This window comes from Homo sapiens, chromosome 6 (genome assembly GCF_000001405.40).
Source record: "Homo sapiens chromosome 6, GRCh38.p14 Primary Assembly".
In the NCBI taxonomy this organism is placed as follows: domain Eukaryota; kingdom Metazoa; phylum Chordata; class Mammalia; order Primates; family Hominidae; genus Homo; species Homo sapiens.
In genome coordinates this window covers 92974492-92991583 of record NC_000006.12, presented here as the reverse complement: position 1 = coordinate 92991583, position 17092 = coordinate 92974492, and the positions used below count along the sequence as shown (strand labels likewise).

Sequence of the window (17092 nt, the reverse complement as noted above, 5' to 3'; positions counted from 1 at the left end):
TTTTGATATTAAATTGTTACAATTACATGGATACTTTTATTTTATATTTTCTGCTTATTTTAACATTGGAAGAGATTTGCCCTAGCCAGATGCAATTATTATCAGTTTTTGATTTTCTGAACATGTTCTAAGAGCCGTTTTCTATTGCTAGAAGCATGAGGATCATGAGGCTACATTGTAAAGCTTCCAGCAGTCTAGCTGCCTGAGAGAATTAGAAAAGGGATCCGGGCCTGCTATATCTCAACCTATCCAAGTAATGAGAAAATGTAGTACGTGACCACACTCTCACAAGGCCACCTAGATTAACCATGACATGGATCCTTTGCAATGGTGTCAATCCTCAGAACCACTAGCTTTCCTGGCTCTCCCCTCACCATTAAAGACAGCTAGAAAAAGACCACCATCACTTTTTTGTATGTTCAATTTTCAGTTTAGAAAACATGGTTAAAATTAGAAGAATCCTCCCCTAAGTAGTAATTATAGGGACCTTTAAAAAAAATGAAAAAGATTAACAAAAGTCTATTCATAAAGCAAAATTGTGGTGAATATCACAGACTAATGATGAAATATAAGTTCTCAGAACTTCCCCATTTTGTTGTTTCATATCACTCAAGAGATAGAATATTAAAAATAGATTCACTTAATTTAGAAAAGAATTAAAAAGATATGTGGCGGGAGTTCATTTTAAGTTACACTTCCTAAGATTTAATACCCAGTTTTGTCATATTTTGTCCTGCAGTCACACATTCAAGTGCTGTCAGAGGACTTGAGAAGCAGGCAGGTATGGGCCGGGCGCGGTGGCTCACGCCTGTAATCCCAGCACTTTGGGAGGCAGAGGCGGGCAGATCATGAGGTCAGGAGATCGAGACCATCCTGGCTAGCATGGTGAAACCCCGTCTCTAATAAAAATACAAAACATTAGCCGGGCATGGTGGCAGGTGCCTGTAATCCCAGCTACTCAGGAGGCAGGAGAATCACTTGAACCTGGGAGGCAGAGGTTGCAGTGAGCCGAGATCATGCCACTGCACTCCAGCCTGGGCGACAGAGCAAGACTCTGTCTCAAAAAAAAAAAAAAAAAAAAAAAAAGAGAGAGAGAAAGAAAGAGAAAGCAGGCAGGTATGATGCTAGGGTAGGAGAAGATGTGTTTGCCTTTTCTTGTTTTCCACTTACTCACTTCAGAGAAGGGCCTGGTGTATTCATAGTTTAACTAGCTATCTCTGCCAAAAAGCTTCCTAAATCTATGAATAAATGATTCCTGAAGAAGGTGACTTTCACGGGTATTTTCCATCTTGTGGCTCTTTTGGGAAATAAAAGAGCACATTTATGGTATTTTTCTCAAATCGAACCGAAGCAGTTATTTGTCATGAATGATGTTTTTGGAATTGCACTCTGGGTTGCTTAGGATTACAGGTTGCTTAGGACATATATGGCAGTAGAGCAAAAAGCAACAAATATGACAAAAATTAAGACAAAGAACTGCATGGCCACACGGAATAGTGTTGATACATTTTGAAACATTAGAAGACTGCAGGTAAAGCCATAGAAATAGAATTATTTTCACAGATGTCCATGGTTTTTAGGAGGCAACAACTGACAGGACTTCTAAAGGCAAAAACCTTTATCTTCTAAGTGCAATGTTTGTGTTTCAACTTCAGAATGACTCATTTGAGAGGATGGTTACCCCCGACCACAATTTGAAGAATTTAAGCATTATCTTCACAAATTTCATCATACTTTTCAACAAAAGAGAAAGTAGATGTAGGATTTTGCCTTACAGACATAAAGGAAAGCAATGTTTTGAAACATGTTTGTCAAACTTTTCTGCACCTTCGAGTCACCTGGGAAACTTGTTAACACGTGCAGGTAATTCTGATTCAGCAGGTCTGGATGGGGCTGGGATTTTTTTTTTTTAGAAGCTCTCAGGTGGGGCTGAGGCTGCTGGTGTGAGAAGCACATTTTAATTGGCCAGGTTTAAAAGGCCTTCTAATGTCTTAGTGGTTAAGATTAGTGTCCTGCAGGTCATTTTCTGCATAGCTACAACTATATATTGATGTCATATACGCTCCTGTAACTCTCCTTTAGTTGGCAAATTGAGCTACATCAATTTGCAGAACAGCTCTATGTCCTATTGACTATTTTTTAAAGGAGTCTAGAAATCTTCAGGCAGAAACCAAATAATTCGTAAGACTTTAATACGGTAATATATCCTGGAACATTTAATTACTCTCTTTTTACCTTTTGGTTTTTTCCATGTTGAGCCACTGACAAGTGTTTCCTGAGGGATACAAACCCTACACATGTTCTGTGTGGGGGTAAGACATATGGGTCAATATTTTGTTGATACAGAACAAGGTTTGTGTTTCTGTTTGATGAGTAACACATTTGCAATACAAGTTTGTTTGTTTGCTTGTTTGTTGTAAAGGAAGATTTCCCAGATTTAGTAAAATCTCTCCCCAACTACACAGAAAACAAAACAAAACAAAACAAAACAAAAACAAAGATGCTGAATCAATTCCCATGCCTTGATACACTTTGACAATGATATGTTGGAGTTAGGTGGATAGCTTATTTTTACTTTTGCTAGTTTGATTTATTTCATGTCTTTTCTAAATGAATATTGAGCTTATAGGCTATTACAGTTATTTTTAAACTTCTATGCCTTATGCTGAATTTCACCATTGAAACTTTCTTTCAAACATATTCCATTTTCCAGCATAAATTACTATCAAGAAGTTAATCTTCTTACCAAAATATAGTTTAAAACTCAACTCAAAATATTCTAACACAGTACAAATATTTACTGTGAGAAACTAGCAAAACATAGAATGAAAGATTGCTAGATATAATCTTTATTTAAAATGGTTTAATTAAAATAAAATTTAAAAATTCAAATTCTAAAATAGCCATAGAATTATTTAATATTGATTATGAGAGGATATGTGTCTGGCAGGGCATTATATTTTGATGACACCAAGTGAAGATAAAAAAGAAATACAAATGCTGCACATGCTGTAAGAATAATAAAACATAAGACTTTTATTGTGTAGAATGTTCATCTTTTTTATTAAGGAAAAATAGCAAGGCTACTTTTAGAGAAACCAGTTAAAATTTATAAAGTTTAACTAACATTTTGAATAACCATTTAACTATATACCAAAAAAGCTAGTACAAAGGGAAAACTCAGGACATGAATATGTATACATTGTAGGTTTTAAACATGCACTTAGAGGCTTGAACTATATATTTGTCACACATAATGCCAGGTGGGAAATCATTAAAAAGAGACCCATTCAGATTTTTTCGTGGCCAAAAAAATCTATGTAATGTTATCATACAAGTTCCACAGAACTTACAATAGTTTTCATGATTCTGGCCAAAAGGAAAAATTGGTTTTCAATTTGGATACCAATTAAGAATTTAGTTGCTTCCCAAAATATTATAAATCACAGCTCCCTTTGTTCAGAATCACAGGATACAAGACACTGAAAGGATATACACAGCAAGGCAATGTGCCTCAGAAATAGAAACAGAAAAGCACAAACCAGCAGACATGAAAGCAGGCTGAGACACAGCAAGAAGACAGAAGAACCTGGAGGAGGTGGAAGAATAGTCCTGGAGCAAGAATTGGAAGAACATTTCTAACAATAGTGGCTTACTCGAGGTTTAGCGAGTGAGTGGGAAATATATAGGGATGTTTGGGCTTGGATATTTAACAGTCAAATTTTGTTAGGTATATTTATGCTAAAATCAGTTGTATCATAATATATACATTTCTAATTTCATTGAGTGTTTTAAGTAACAGATCAGATCACTTATGTTGCTCATAAAATTCCGAGTCAAAGAGCCCCTCCAAGCATTGTTAAAAATAATGAGTATGCATCATATGCACTTCATCCACCTTCTGCAGTTGAGTTTTGTGCCAGGAATTAATAGCTCTCTGTATTGAGTGTTTTTGCTATAAAATTTGATTTGCCATTTCTGCTTTCATATGTTATTATAATGAGATGAAAATCATAGTTTTGCTAAGAATTTTTAGATTTGTCTCTATTGCCTGTGTATTTCCAAATTTAGTTGTGTTTTATTAAATCTAAGAAAACAGAAAAAACTTTCCTTAACAGTCATCATTTCTAATTATATAGGTATTAACAAAAATACTTTTTTTTATTAAAATTCCCACCTTTATATTCTAGCTTCTGTTAGACAGTTGAAAGTTGATGGCAGCACCGGTACTAAAAAGTGATTCCTGCAGGAATTTTTCCTAGATTTATAAAGCCCATCCTTACACAAACTGCAGAAAATGCATCACAACCTTTTCCTTTTATCTTCATATAATCTCGAGTCACCAAGGAAAAGGAGCTCTGACTCTCATCTCATGTCCTTTTTTTTTTTCATCGCCTATTTGGGGTCATTATCCCTGAAGGTGGAAAGCGTGTATAAAGACCTACACAACATACTGGTCTGTAATATTAATCCACTACTCTTGCATTGACAAATACATCTAACGATCTTCAAAAAATTATCTTTTATTAGAAAGACAAAAAAAGACTAAAAATAGGAGGGAAACAAAACGTACAGAAAGTTAAACAGCATTTAAATACATTTGGTATGTAGGTCTATATGATATATACATATATATATATATATATATATATATATATATAGTATGCATTAGAATGTAGAGAGGTTTAATAATATTGAATTTATAAAATTGAATCGACCATCTATCTCCTTGAAAGTAAGTAGTAGGGTGACCAACTGTTTCATCTTGCTCAGGGCTGAGGAGGGTTTCTCAGGACACAGGATTTTATTGTGAAAACTGGTAACATCACGGGCAGATTGGGAAGGTTCATCACTCTAAATAGGTATGAGCATTTTTAATTTCTGTGGCCTATTATCTTCACATGGCTTAGTAAGTACATTATTTCTAATTTTAAGCTATTTTTTTCATTAGGACAAAAAGAAAAGAATAGGGCAATCGGTTACTCTCTTTGAAGAGATGATGAGAAGGAAGAGAAATATTTGAAAATCTCATCAGAGTGACTCAGTTTTTTGTCTATTGTGCTGATTTTTTTTTTTACTGTCGACTGGTTTGGGTCTATTAAAACTCAGATTATTGCATTTGTCTGTGAGGTTTCATTACCTCTTATCAAAAAGAAGCCCTGCTGTTAGGGCATCTGGGAAGTCTCTCATCTTTAGAAAGTGAAGAAAATATAAGATTCCAGCCACACATCTCAGGCCCAGTTGGTTCAGCAACACTGTGTTACCATTCTCTGCGGCAACTGTACTGCTTTGTAATTAAAACTCTGGTGAGTTAAGTCCGACAGGCTCAGTAACTAGTAGATTATGAAAGAAAAAAAATCAAGAGAAATTTACTTTACCACATGAATCAAATAGCTAAGAAAGAAAGAGAACAAAGATGTAACCCTGAAAGTGCACTTACCTTTCAGTGTTGTTTCTTAGAGTCACATTGATTTATTGGAGCTTGCTAGGATGTTCCTTTTTTAAAAGACCTAATTTACTAACAGTGTGGGATTTTCCAAGTTTTTCACTCCCTTCAGATTGCATTTTCATTTGCTCTAGCTGTGAAGACCTATAATACAGAGACATTACAATTGAACTCAGTGTGGGAGTCTCTCCAAGGCAGAGAATTCCCATATATCTTTTTGTCTTGTGGAACCTTTTGAGAGTCTTCGGGTCCTAAAAATGGAGAGCAATTTGGCACTCATTTCAATGTATTATTGATATTGGCCTCCTTTTTGGTTCAGTTGAGGAAATTGTGTCCAACTGTTTTTATTTTCTAATAGGCCAGGTTATATAACCACAGTAACTCATGGGACAAAGTCTACAATTAGACTTCTGCCTCTGTTTGGCACTCTAGATTGTAACAGAGGCAAATTTCATTTCTTTATCTTAAACTTAGGGAACGTTGACACTTTAGATGGGGTGTACAAAGGTTCAAGGAGTATAGCTCTAAGAACAGCGAAACTAAGTAATTTAACCTGGGCACTTTCAGTAGTGAAAGAGGACATAATTAATAATTATGCTTACAGACCTGATGAAAACCAGGTTTATCCCAGGCAAACCAGAAGTTAAAGTCATAATTAAGACCCTGTAGGGGAAGAATCATAGTGCCAAATTTCAAACTGGATTACAATGGGTATGAAGAAAAAAAGAGAGGTTGAGCCTACTCATAATTCTGATTTCTACATGACAGGGGTATACTGAGAAGTCCATCTTCAAAACACTCTCAGCTTAAGGAAACAAATTCGAGAAAACACATTCATTTAATAAATATTTATCAGTTATGTGCTAGGCATGGGACTAAGTTCTGGAAGTATAATGATGAGCCGAAATAGCATCCCTACCTTCATAAAAATTAGAACTTCATAAGACATGAATTAGTAAAATAATCTCAAAAATAAATATCTGATTAGAAAATTAGATAAAAGATATAGAGTAGTGCATAGTCTAGTGAGAAAAGTCAGAGGAGTCCAGACCCAATCTGGTAGTCCACAAAAGGTTGTTGTGAACTAGAGTTTACTGGTTGAGGGGGTAATAGTTTTAGGCAAGGGGAAGAGCAGAGACCCTCTTGACTAAGCCTTGAGTTCTGCTCCTGGGGAGTAGCTCTCCTAATCAATTGTTCCCCATGGCTATTGGGTCTATTCTTTGAAAGTTCCTTTTCTTTACATTTTCCTTCCTGGTCACGTCTGAAGGGATGTTAGTTTTTAACAGAATATGTCTTCCTTGGAGGCTGAGCAGATTTCTCAACCAGCTTTCTGCCAGTGGAAGACTGGAAATGCAAAAATTATTTTGTGAGTTAATCAGTTACTGTATCTTTTAGTCTTGTCTGATGGTTCTTTTTGACCAGGCAGTTCTCTTAAGAGCTTGAGTCAGTTTTTTTTTTGTTTGTTTTTTGTTTTTTTTATATTATTATGATTATTATTTTTATTTTTATTTATTTATTTTTTTATTATACTTTAAGTTTTAGGGTACATGTGCACATTGTGCAGGTTAGTTACATATGTATACATGTGCCATGCTGGTGCACTGCACCCACTAACTCGTCATCTAGCATTAGGTATATCTCCCAATGCTATCCCTCCCCCCTACCCCCACCCCACAACAGTCCCCAGAGTGTGATATTCCCCTTCCTGTGTCCATGTGATCTCTTTGTTCAATTCCCACCTATGAGTGAGAATATGCGGTGTTTGGTTTTTTGTTCTTGCGATAGTTTACTGAGAATGATGTTTTCCAATTTCATCCATGTCCCTACAAAGGACATGAACTCATCATTTTTTATGGCTGCATAGTATTCCATGGTGTATATGTGCCACATTTTCTTAATCCAGTCTATCATTGTTGGACATTGGGGTTGGTTCCAAGTCTTTGCTATTGTGAATAATGCCGCAATAAACATACGTGTGCATGTGTCTTTATAGCAGCATGATTTATAGTCCTTTGGGTATATACCCAGTAATGGGATGGCTGGGTCAAATGGTATTTCCAGTTCTAGATCCCTGAGGAATCGCCACACTGACTTCCACAATGGTTGAACTAGTTTACAGTCCCATCAACAGTGTAAAAGTGTTCCTATTTCTCCACGTCCTCTCCAGCACCTGTTGTTTCCTGACTTTTTAATGATTGCCATTCTAACTGGTGTGAGATGGTATCTCATTGTGGTTTTGATTTGCATTTCTCTAATGGCACTGGTACCAAAACAGAGATATAGATCAATGGAACAGAACAGAGCCCTCAGAAATAACGCCGCATATCTACAACTATCTGATCTTTGACAAACCTGAGAAAAACAAGCAATGGGGAAAGGATTCCCTATTTAATAAATGGTGCTGGGAAAACTGGCTAGCCATATGTAGAAAGCTGAAACTGGATCCCTTCCTTACACCTTATACAAAAATCAATTCAAGATAGATTAAAGACTTAAACGTTAGACCTAAAACCATAAAAACCCTAGAAGAAAACCTAGGCATTACCATTCAGGACATAGGCATGGGCAAGGACTTCATGTCTAAAACACGAAAAGCAATGGCAACAAAAGCCAAAATTGATAAATGGGATCTAATTAAACTAAAGAGCTTCTGCACAGCAGAAGAAACTACCGTCAGAGTGAACAGGCAACCTACAAAATGGGAGAAAATTTTCGCAACCTACTCATCTGACAAAGGGCTAATATCCAGAATCTACAATGAACTCAAACAAATTTACAAGAAAAAAACAAAGAAACCCATCAAAAAGTGGGCGAAGGACATGAACAGACATTTCTCAAAAGAAGACATTTATGCAGCCAAAAAACACATGAGAAAATGCTCATCATCACGAGTCAGTTTTTTATCTATTTGGTTACAATCAACTCTCTATTTGAATAATCCAAATCCACATTTTTTAGTAAAACAAGTCTCTCAGTCTTTCTCTCTCTCGATGTATTTTCTGCTGGTTTGAGTCTATCAGTCTTCTCACAATAGTTATACTTTTAGTGTCTTTTTGGAGTTATTTGAACCAACTGAAAAATATTAGTTTCTAGATTCAGAGAGTTTTAAAAAAACATTTATTTTGTCCCTTTCTAAAAAAGGGAGTTGTAAACATACCTTGATTTGTTTTCCAATTTTAGGGAAACTAAGTTATAATCAGCCATAGTTTATCAAAGGCCTTCTTAGTTAAACGCTTTACTTATTGGAAATGATATCATTTGCATCTTCTAGCCTTACACATCCTGGAATTTCAGGACTTTCTCAATTGCCTTCCAAGCATGTCTGCAGCCTGCCCAAGTTTATTCTGTGTGCATTTCATTTTGTAGTACCTTGTCAAATGCAACCAACTCATGCTGCTATTAAAATCCTATTTTCCCCCTTCTACAATCAAAGCCAAAATGTACATTATCTGCTAAGATATAACAGATGATAGGTTCATCAATTGTTTTGCTACTGCAAACATAGGTCAGTATATTTCCAACCTTCATTAACAGTTTTCTCACTGTCCACTATCTGACACCCTAAAGCCAATATTTTTTATTTTTTGTTGGGGAAGCATTACACTTTTGGGTTCTACTTTCTATATAATCAGCTTAGCTAAATCAGGCTGTGGTAATAAATGACACCCCAAATCTGAGTGGCTTAATAACAACCACGTAACTCTTACCCATGCTATTTGTCCACCATGGGTCAGTTTAGCTCTTTACTCCAGAGTGCAGAATAATGGAGCATCCTTTATCTTTGATATGGGCTAGTGGAATAGTGGGTTAACCAATCATTCTCAAAGTTTCTGAAGGGAAGTGGCACATTCCACTTTCTCTCATATTTCATTGGCCACATCAATAGGGTGAGATGAATATTCTTTCGTCAGGAGGAAATTCCAAAAGAGGCAGTTTCAAATATTTGGGATAACAGGACTAGAAGATCACTAAAAGTCCTCCCCACACCATCCGTTTTATTTCATGCTCTCTTTCTGGGAAAATCCTTCACCCTATTCTCTTTGTTCAATAAGATAGGTTCGACATATAGTGTCATACTGTATGTGAGTGCATTTGATATTAAAAAAACAGTCATATCAATTTACTAGTAATGCAACATCCCATTAGTAAATAAAGAGCTAGAAAAGTAAATGAAATTAATATTTGTTTTATTCTTTTTTTCATCAACTTTATAGGCCCAAAAAGACTAGGTAGATTTATATTTTCAATATGTTTGAAAAAGGCAAATATGATTCATGCATTTTGTTAAGAAAAATATAAAGGGAAAAAATACATATAAAAAGACAATATGAACCAATTACGTATTTCATCAAACCAAATAGAAAGCAATTTATGATTTTATATAAATATTTGTATCAAAACTATTTTTATCACTTAAATTGTGAGAGATGACACAGCATGGTGTAAATTTTGTATTTAGAATCACAGTGATGTAGAAATAAATTCTAGCTTCATTTTTATTAGCTTTGCACTTTGGGCAAATTACTTGTGAAAACACCATAAACCACTATACAAATTGGAGTTGGAGAAAGGGATAAGAATCCTGTTAAATTTATTTTGTTTTTCTAACTAACCATTTAGCTCACTGTACATTCTTATTGGGACACTATCTTTGAGCGTCACCATCCCATGTTTCCCAGAAGTGGATGCAGTCTAAAGAATTTTCTACATTAGTCTTACATAGAACTGGAATCTACTCACCTTCTGAGTGTTAGCATCACCTTTGAAGTTTATTTCTTAAATATCCTGTAGGTGAGGCAGTTCCATGATTTTGAAGGCACCATTGCTAATTTGGAGACCTTCCCAGAGCTCACTGGGAAGGATGACGATCTCATGCTCTCAGGCCTAAATTTGATCAAAAGGGACAACATTTCGATGCTAAGCTTACAAATCCCTCAGTGTATTTATAAATCCCTCACATACAGTTTACATATCAGGGAATTCACCAGCTATAGGAGTGCAAATTTTGGATAAGTTCTAGCAACCTTCACCTTAAAGACACAAAAAACAAAAAAACAAAAAAGAAATCCCAGCAGGGTGCGGTGACTCACACCTGTAATCCCAGCACTTTGGGAGGCCAAGGGGGGCAGATAGCTTGAGCCCAGGAGTCTAAAACCAGCCTGGCCAACATTGTGAAACCTTGTCTTTAGTAAAAATACAAAAATTAGCTGGATGTATGTATGTACAGGTGGGTGCCTGTAATCTCAGCTACTTAGGAAACTGAGGCAGGAGACTGCTTGAACCTGGGAGGCGGAGGCTGCAGTGAGCCAAGATAGTGGCACTGCACCCTAGCCTTGGCAACAGAGTGAGACTGTGTCTCAAAAAAATAAAAAAAAATGAATCCCTTAGCTTCCCTGAAAGTCAATTTACTTCAGAGGTAAGAAAATTTCTTTTTTAAAAAATAAAAGAATCAAAAATAAAACAGAAAGATCTTTTTGTTATTATATTATTGTATTATTTTATATCTCTTCTGAAAACTACTCTCAGAGGTTTAAATGTAATTTTGTGTCTTAACCAAAACAGAAATGAACTGGCAAATGTCTCACTATAGAAGAGAAGAAGAAAATTAATCTCTAGTAAAATATCAATAAAAGTCTGAGCACTGCACTAGTTTTAACCAGTCTGATCCTCAGTTTCTCACTATAAAACATGGTAGTGACAATATTTACTTCACATTGAAAATTTAGGCTAAAACAAAGCACAAAGCTTCTCTATGGTTAATTTTGATTGCTTCATAACTTTGAAAGGTCTTGTTTCAGCAAAGTTTTAGTTTTGAGAATACACATGCAAATGATTAATATTTAGGAAAAGTTAGAAATATAATAATGTTAGACCTTAAGAGTAGGACCCACGAAAGTTGCAAACACTTCTAGCCTTATTATTCACATACCTCTCATGAAGTTTCTTGGTTCTTGACTCTTTCTATTGCTACCGGTTACAACTTATGAAAATATTACATATTGACATGGCATGAGTTTTATACTATCGTTAAGCCCAAAAGCTTTCTCCCGCTGCTTCAACTCTAAAGAATGATCACCGGAAAATTCTGCATTGACTTCCCAGGTAATATCTTACCTCAGAGTTCTTTATGCCTCTGCACTGGTGGTGGCCATTTCACACTTTGGGCAGGTTCAGGGTAGCTGCAAGGTCAAAGCACAGTATCTGGAACGTAAGTGATCAGTATCCGTCTGTTGAATGAAGGACACTTTTGGAAGAAATTTTCTTTCTTCATAGACTAAAGACAGAGAGAGAGGAAGATGAAAAGAAACTACAGGCTCTATCTGGGTTATGCTAACTTCAAAAATAGAAGGGACCAGTGTAACTGGGTAACACAGAAAGGGGGAAGATCTGAAGACTTCTTTGGAAATTCTAGCACCAGACAGCCACAGGAAAGAAAGGACCCAAGGACTCCAAAAAATATTACACAATAGAAAAGCTGGGATTTGGGGATGAGGCCTACCAGGAATCCATCAGCATGTACTTCAAAACCTCTGTTACTAAAAAGACAAGGGAAGAAGTTTGGCCCAAAGAGCCAAGTTGGAATTGCTGATATTATACAGCTGACCTTGGGTAAGAAGGAGGAGAAAGTGTATTAAGCGTGTATCAGTTGGCTAACAGCCAGGCTGTGACTGCTTATTCAGAGAACTAGCATTCAGGGAGGAGGGCTTGGAGGCTTTCCATGCAGGAGTGGGAAAAATGCCTCTTATTTCTTTTCTGGGATATGCACCCAAGGGGAGAGACAAACTTGAAACCGCATACAATATGGGAAGGTTCTGGGCTTGGCATATTATAGCATCTCTTCTCCTTTTCCACACCATTTTCTCCAGAAACAACTCTGAATCACAAGAAGTTAAGGAAAATGCAATTTCAACCCTGTGTAGAATTGAGAGACACCTCATAAATAGAAGCATAAAATCGCTCAGTAGCCTCATTTTATTCTGTGGGGCTTCAGGTCAATTTTGAACTCGTAAAGGAGAGGACTTCAGGCCATCTTTGACAATTATACTTTTGTTTTTCTAATCTTGTACACATGTGAAGGTCAATGGAGAATTTGGGCAGGAGCTTTAATCAAGCCCTTTTCAGCAATTTACAAAACTGATCCTTTGCTGGCATTGAAAGACCAGAGCACATATGAATGCTTCTAGTCTTCTGGCATGTCATCTTTCCATAAGCTTTTTATTCAGATTCCTTAAAATCCCTGGAAAATAAATTGGGTAGAATTGGCACCATGAAATTATTTAAAGTATCTAAACAACTCTCTTATGGTCTCATTGTATGTCTTGTTTTGCTTTCTTTTTTTTTTCTTTTATGTTGTTCTAATCTCCGGATTATACATGTGTAAACCACACATTATTTTCTAGTTTATACATAGACAATTTGGTTAAGAATTCATGTTCAGTTCCCTAAATAAACAATATTTTTCTCTTATATAAATTATAGTGTATATTATTCATACTTGTCACAACTCTTTATGTTCTAAGTCGCTCGATTTTTTCCTGTGTGACTTTCCTGCCTAAACCAACCTATTTAGGTATGACTCATTTCCCATCAAAGGAGACCTTGCTTTGAAAACATAACTTATTGTGAAGTGATGACTAAATCACAAGCTAATGTAAGGAAAGACTATCAGACCTTTCAACTCTTTTTTTTTTTTTTGTCTGAGACGGAGTCTCACTCTGTCGCCCAGGCTGGAGTGCAGTGGCGCGATCTCGGCTCACTGCAAACTCCGCCTCCCGGGTTCACGCCATTCTCCTGCCTCCGCCTCCCGAGTAGCTGGGACTACAGGCTCCCGCCACCACGCCCAGCTAACTCTTTGTATTTTCAGTAGAGACGGGGTTTCACCGTGTTAGCCAGGATGGTCTCGATCTCCTGACCTCCTGATCCGCCCACCTCGGCCTCCCAAAAAGTGCTGGGATTACAGGCATGAGCAACCGCACCCGGCCAGATCTTTCAACTCGAGATCATTCCAGACTTTACTCTTCTTTATTGTGTGAAAATGTTTTCTTAGCTTCAGAATGTAGCCTGTACAAATTAGCTGCTTTATAGATTGGAAAACTCTGAGAAGAGTTAGAATTTCCTATGTAACAACACTTTGCGAACTATATGGGTATCCTGAGAGGGGGAGGGGGTGAACTGGTTAAAGGAGGAGGTGATATTTATCAAAAAGCGGTTTTCTCTTCAGCTTGCATACTGTTTCCCGTCAGTGCTTAAAACCAGCAGGGTTTTCAGGACAAGTTACAGTACTACAGATGTTTTGAGCCATTAACATATGGTTTGAATACTGTTGTGGTAGGATTTTTTACAGATATATTTTCATCTTGCAAACTGAAAGTTAAATGTCTTTCCATTAATCCACCCATGTCATATTTATTTGTCCCCAGAAAAGCCAAGATTTAGTTTTGCCACATTTTGTATTCAAACACAAGAGAGGTGACAAGGTTTGACATGGGTCAGTCCTTTCCACACCAAGTACCTGAGAAGATTCCCTAGAAAATTGTTATCTGGGAACCACATCTATTTGTGAAGTGGATGATAAACTATTGTTCATCTTGTCTCGTGACCACCAGGGAGATGAATGCAATTTGCACAGTGCAATGGTAATAACTAATGTGACATTTTCAATGAAATCTAATCATGGATTCTAAATAGTCACACCCAGAGCCTTTGCAGAGAGTATTTTTTTTTTCTCTTTGAAAAAGTGCTCTTTGAATAGACAAACACATTGTCTGCTTTCAGATAGGTAAATATTGTAGTTTTAAATATATGGTTCATGGAGTACAATTCATGCAAGTTATTTTGGAACACTTAGTTCTAGTCATCAAAGCCTAGTAATTCGGTGGCCATAAAATTTATCATGCAACCTTGTGAGGGTAGAAGGAAGTGCCATTAATGATTACACAGAAACAAGAATCTGAAACTGGTACTGTCCTGGGCAAACAAAGATATAGAATCATTCTGCACCTAATGAACTATGAAAATTGCTAACATTGTAAACTGATTATTTTTGGAGAAAGTGAAAATCACATGTTATTAGAAAGCTAGTAAGTTATTGTGATCTGATGAACAGAGGTGAAATCTCAATTCTACATTCATGGGGACTCTATTAGGAAAGAAAGCCTTATAATATGAATACCTCCCTCTGTGAGCTCCAAAGAATTTCACTGGTATTTCAGGCTGGAGTATGTATGTTTAGGATTATTGATGGAGTGAGACCTTTCCATTCTTCTCAATGTCCTTGGCAGCTGGCTATGGATATTTTCAGATTTAAACCATTTTATTTCCAGAGAACTGTTGTATGCTAGACTATTCCAAGGGAAAAAAATCAGGAAATAGTATCGACATAAAGGAAAAGAGGCTTTCCTATTACTTCTCTCATCATGTATTGTTTTTTTTTCAATTTATGTTAACATGGAAGTATCTGAATTTTTAATGTGGCTTAACCCTAAGGACTGCTGCTAGAAAATAGCCAGAGGGTGTGTGCTGTTTATACAAGTCATTTGGTATCAAGAAGGGCAGCATGCATATCCTGACCTAGTTCTATTAATTTGTCTGGAGGACAACCAAGAGACTGTACACTTGAAGGAGATAAGAATTTCCTTCCCCAAAGTTATTTTAGATGAAGGCACATATCCATTTTGGATGACACTAAAGAAATAGTGCTGTAACTAAGGTGCAGAGCAGCTATTGGGTTCGCTAATGCTTGAGAGAAAGAATATCATGAAAATATTATATGATGGGCGGACATAGTGGGATGGTGAAAATCATAAATGCAAGAGTGGGAGTCCCTGATAGTCAAGTTGAGGAGTCAGAACTGTAAATTGGCTTCTTGTAATAGAAGTTCCTTAACAAGAATGGAAAAAAGCTAGAATATGCTAAATAGGATGAAATATTTAGTTCAGGAAAGTGGAGCATGTTGCTGAGAGCCCAGAACCAGAAAGTTAATTTACAGTGTTTCTTTTGGAACATCTGAGATTACCAGTTTACAATGTAAGTAGCTGTAAGGACAGTGGTTCTGACTTGAAGCGAAAGAATGGTTCCGCAATTCAGACAGCAAGACACTTGTTACTTCTGAGGACAAAAATTCATACTAAAGGAATTCATTGAAATTCAAGTACAAAGGGCTTTTTAATTATTCTTTTAAAAATTTATTTTAACTTTTATAGTGCTGTAATTTTTTATTAAAAAAATTTTAAAGCCAAATGTGGTGGGTCATGCCTGCAATCCCTGTGCTTTGGGAAGCTGAGGCAGGAGGATTACTTGAGACCAGGAGTTTGAGACAAGCCTGGGCAATGTAGCAAGCCCCTGTTTCTATGAAAAAAAAAATAAAAAATTTGCTGGGTGTGGTGGTGCAGGCCTGTAGTCCTAGCTACTTGGGAGGACGAGGTGGGAGAATAGCTTGAATCCAATGGGTTGAGGCTGCAGTGAGCTATGATCATGCCACTCTACTTCAGTTTGGGTGACAGTGTGAGACCCTGGCTCAAAAAAAGTTAAATGGATACATAATAATTGTATGAGCTACATAGCGACGTTGTGATACATATAATATACAGTGATCAGATCAGGTAATTAGTATATCCATCACCTCAAACATTTATCATTTCATTGTGTTGGGAATATTCAATATCCTCCTAGCCATTTGAAACTAAATAATATATTATTGTTAATTATAGTCATCCTACAGTGCTGTAGAATAGTAGAACTTATTTCTCATACCTAGCTGTAATTTTGTATCCTTTAACGAATTTCTCCCTATCCCCACTTCCCCCTACTTTTCCCAGCCTCTAATATTCTCTGTTCTACTTTTTACTTCACTTTATGAGATCAACATTTTTTTTTTTTTTAGCTTCCACATATGAGGGAGAACATGAGGTGTCCACTTTCTGTGCCTGGCTTATTTCACTTAGCATAATGTCCTCTAGCTCCATCCATGTTGCTGCAGATGACTAGGTTTTATTCTTGTTTACGGCTGAAGATTATTCCATTGTTCATATATAGCACATTTTCTTTATTCCTCTGTTGATGGACATGTAGATGAATTTCCATGTCTTGGCTATTGTAACAGTACTGCAGTAAACATGGGAGAACAGATGTCTCTTTGATATACTCATTTTCTTTCCTCTGAATTGATGCCCAATAGTTGGATTGCAGGATCATATGGTACTTCTCTTTGTAGTTTTTGAGGAATTTCCATACTGTTCTCCATTGTGGTTGTACTAGTTTACATTCCCACCAATAGTGTATAAGAGTCCTTTTGTCCGCATCCTCATCAGCATTTGTTATTTTTTGTCTTTTGGATAATAGCCATCTTAACTGGGGTGATATGATACCTCATTATGGTTTTGATTTGCATTCTCCTGAGGATTAGTCAGGTTGAGAATTTTTTCATATATTTCTTAGCTATTTGTATGTTTTCTATTTTCCTTAACTTTCTAATGAATATTGATCTCAAATATATTTTTAAGAATTATTTTAAGATTTTTCTATTGTTTACATTTCATCCAAAATGGCCTTATATTTTGGTTGTTAAATTTGACGGATTTCCTTATTAATAAAGTTTTTGGTTTAGTGCTTTAACATATTTGTGAGCTCATTCGAGGTGACTATTTC

At 36.3% G+C, this 17092-nt stretch overlaps 1 long non-coding RNA gene across 1 annotated transcript; it reads right to left on the bottom strand.

The window, feature by feature from the left end:
- Positions 1–4689: 4689 nt before the first annotated feature.
- On the bottom strand, positions 4690–11985 carry LOC105377897 (uncharacterized). The gene is made up of 5 exons (XR_942787.2): positions 11946–11985; positions 11561–11720; positions 10187–10330; positions 5441–5590; positions 4690–5333 (listed from the first exon to the last, which is right to left on the bottom strand). It is a non-coding gene; the product is annotated as an uncharacterized LOC105377897 (long non-coding RNA).
- Positions 11986–17092: the final 5107 nt, after the last annotated feature.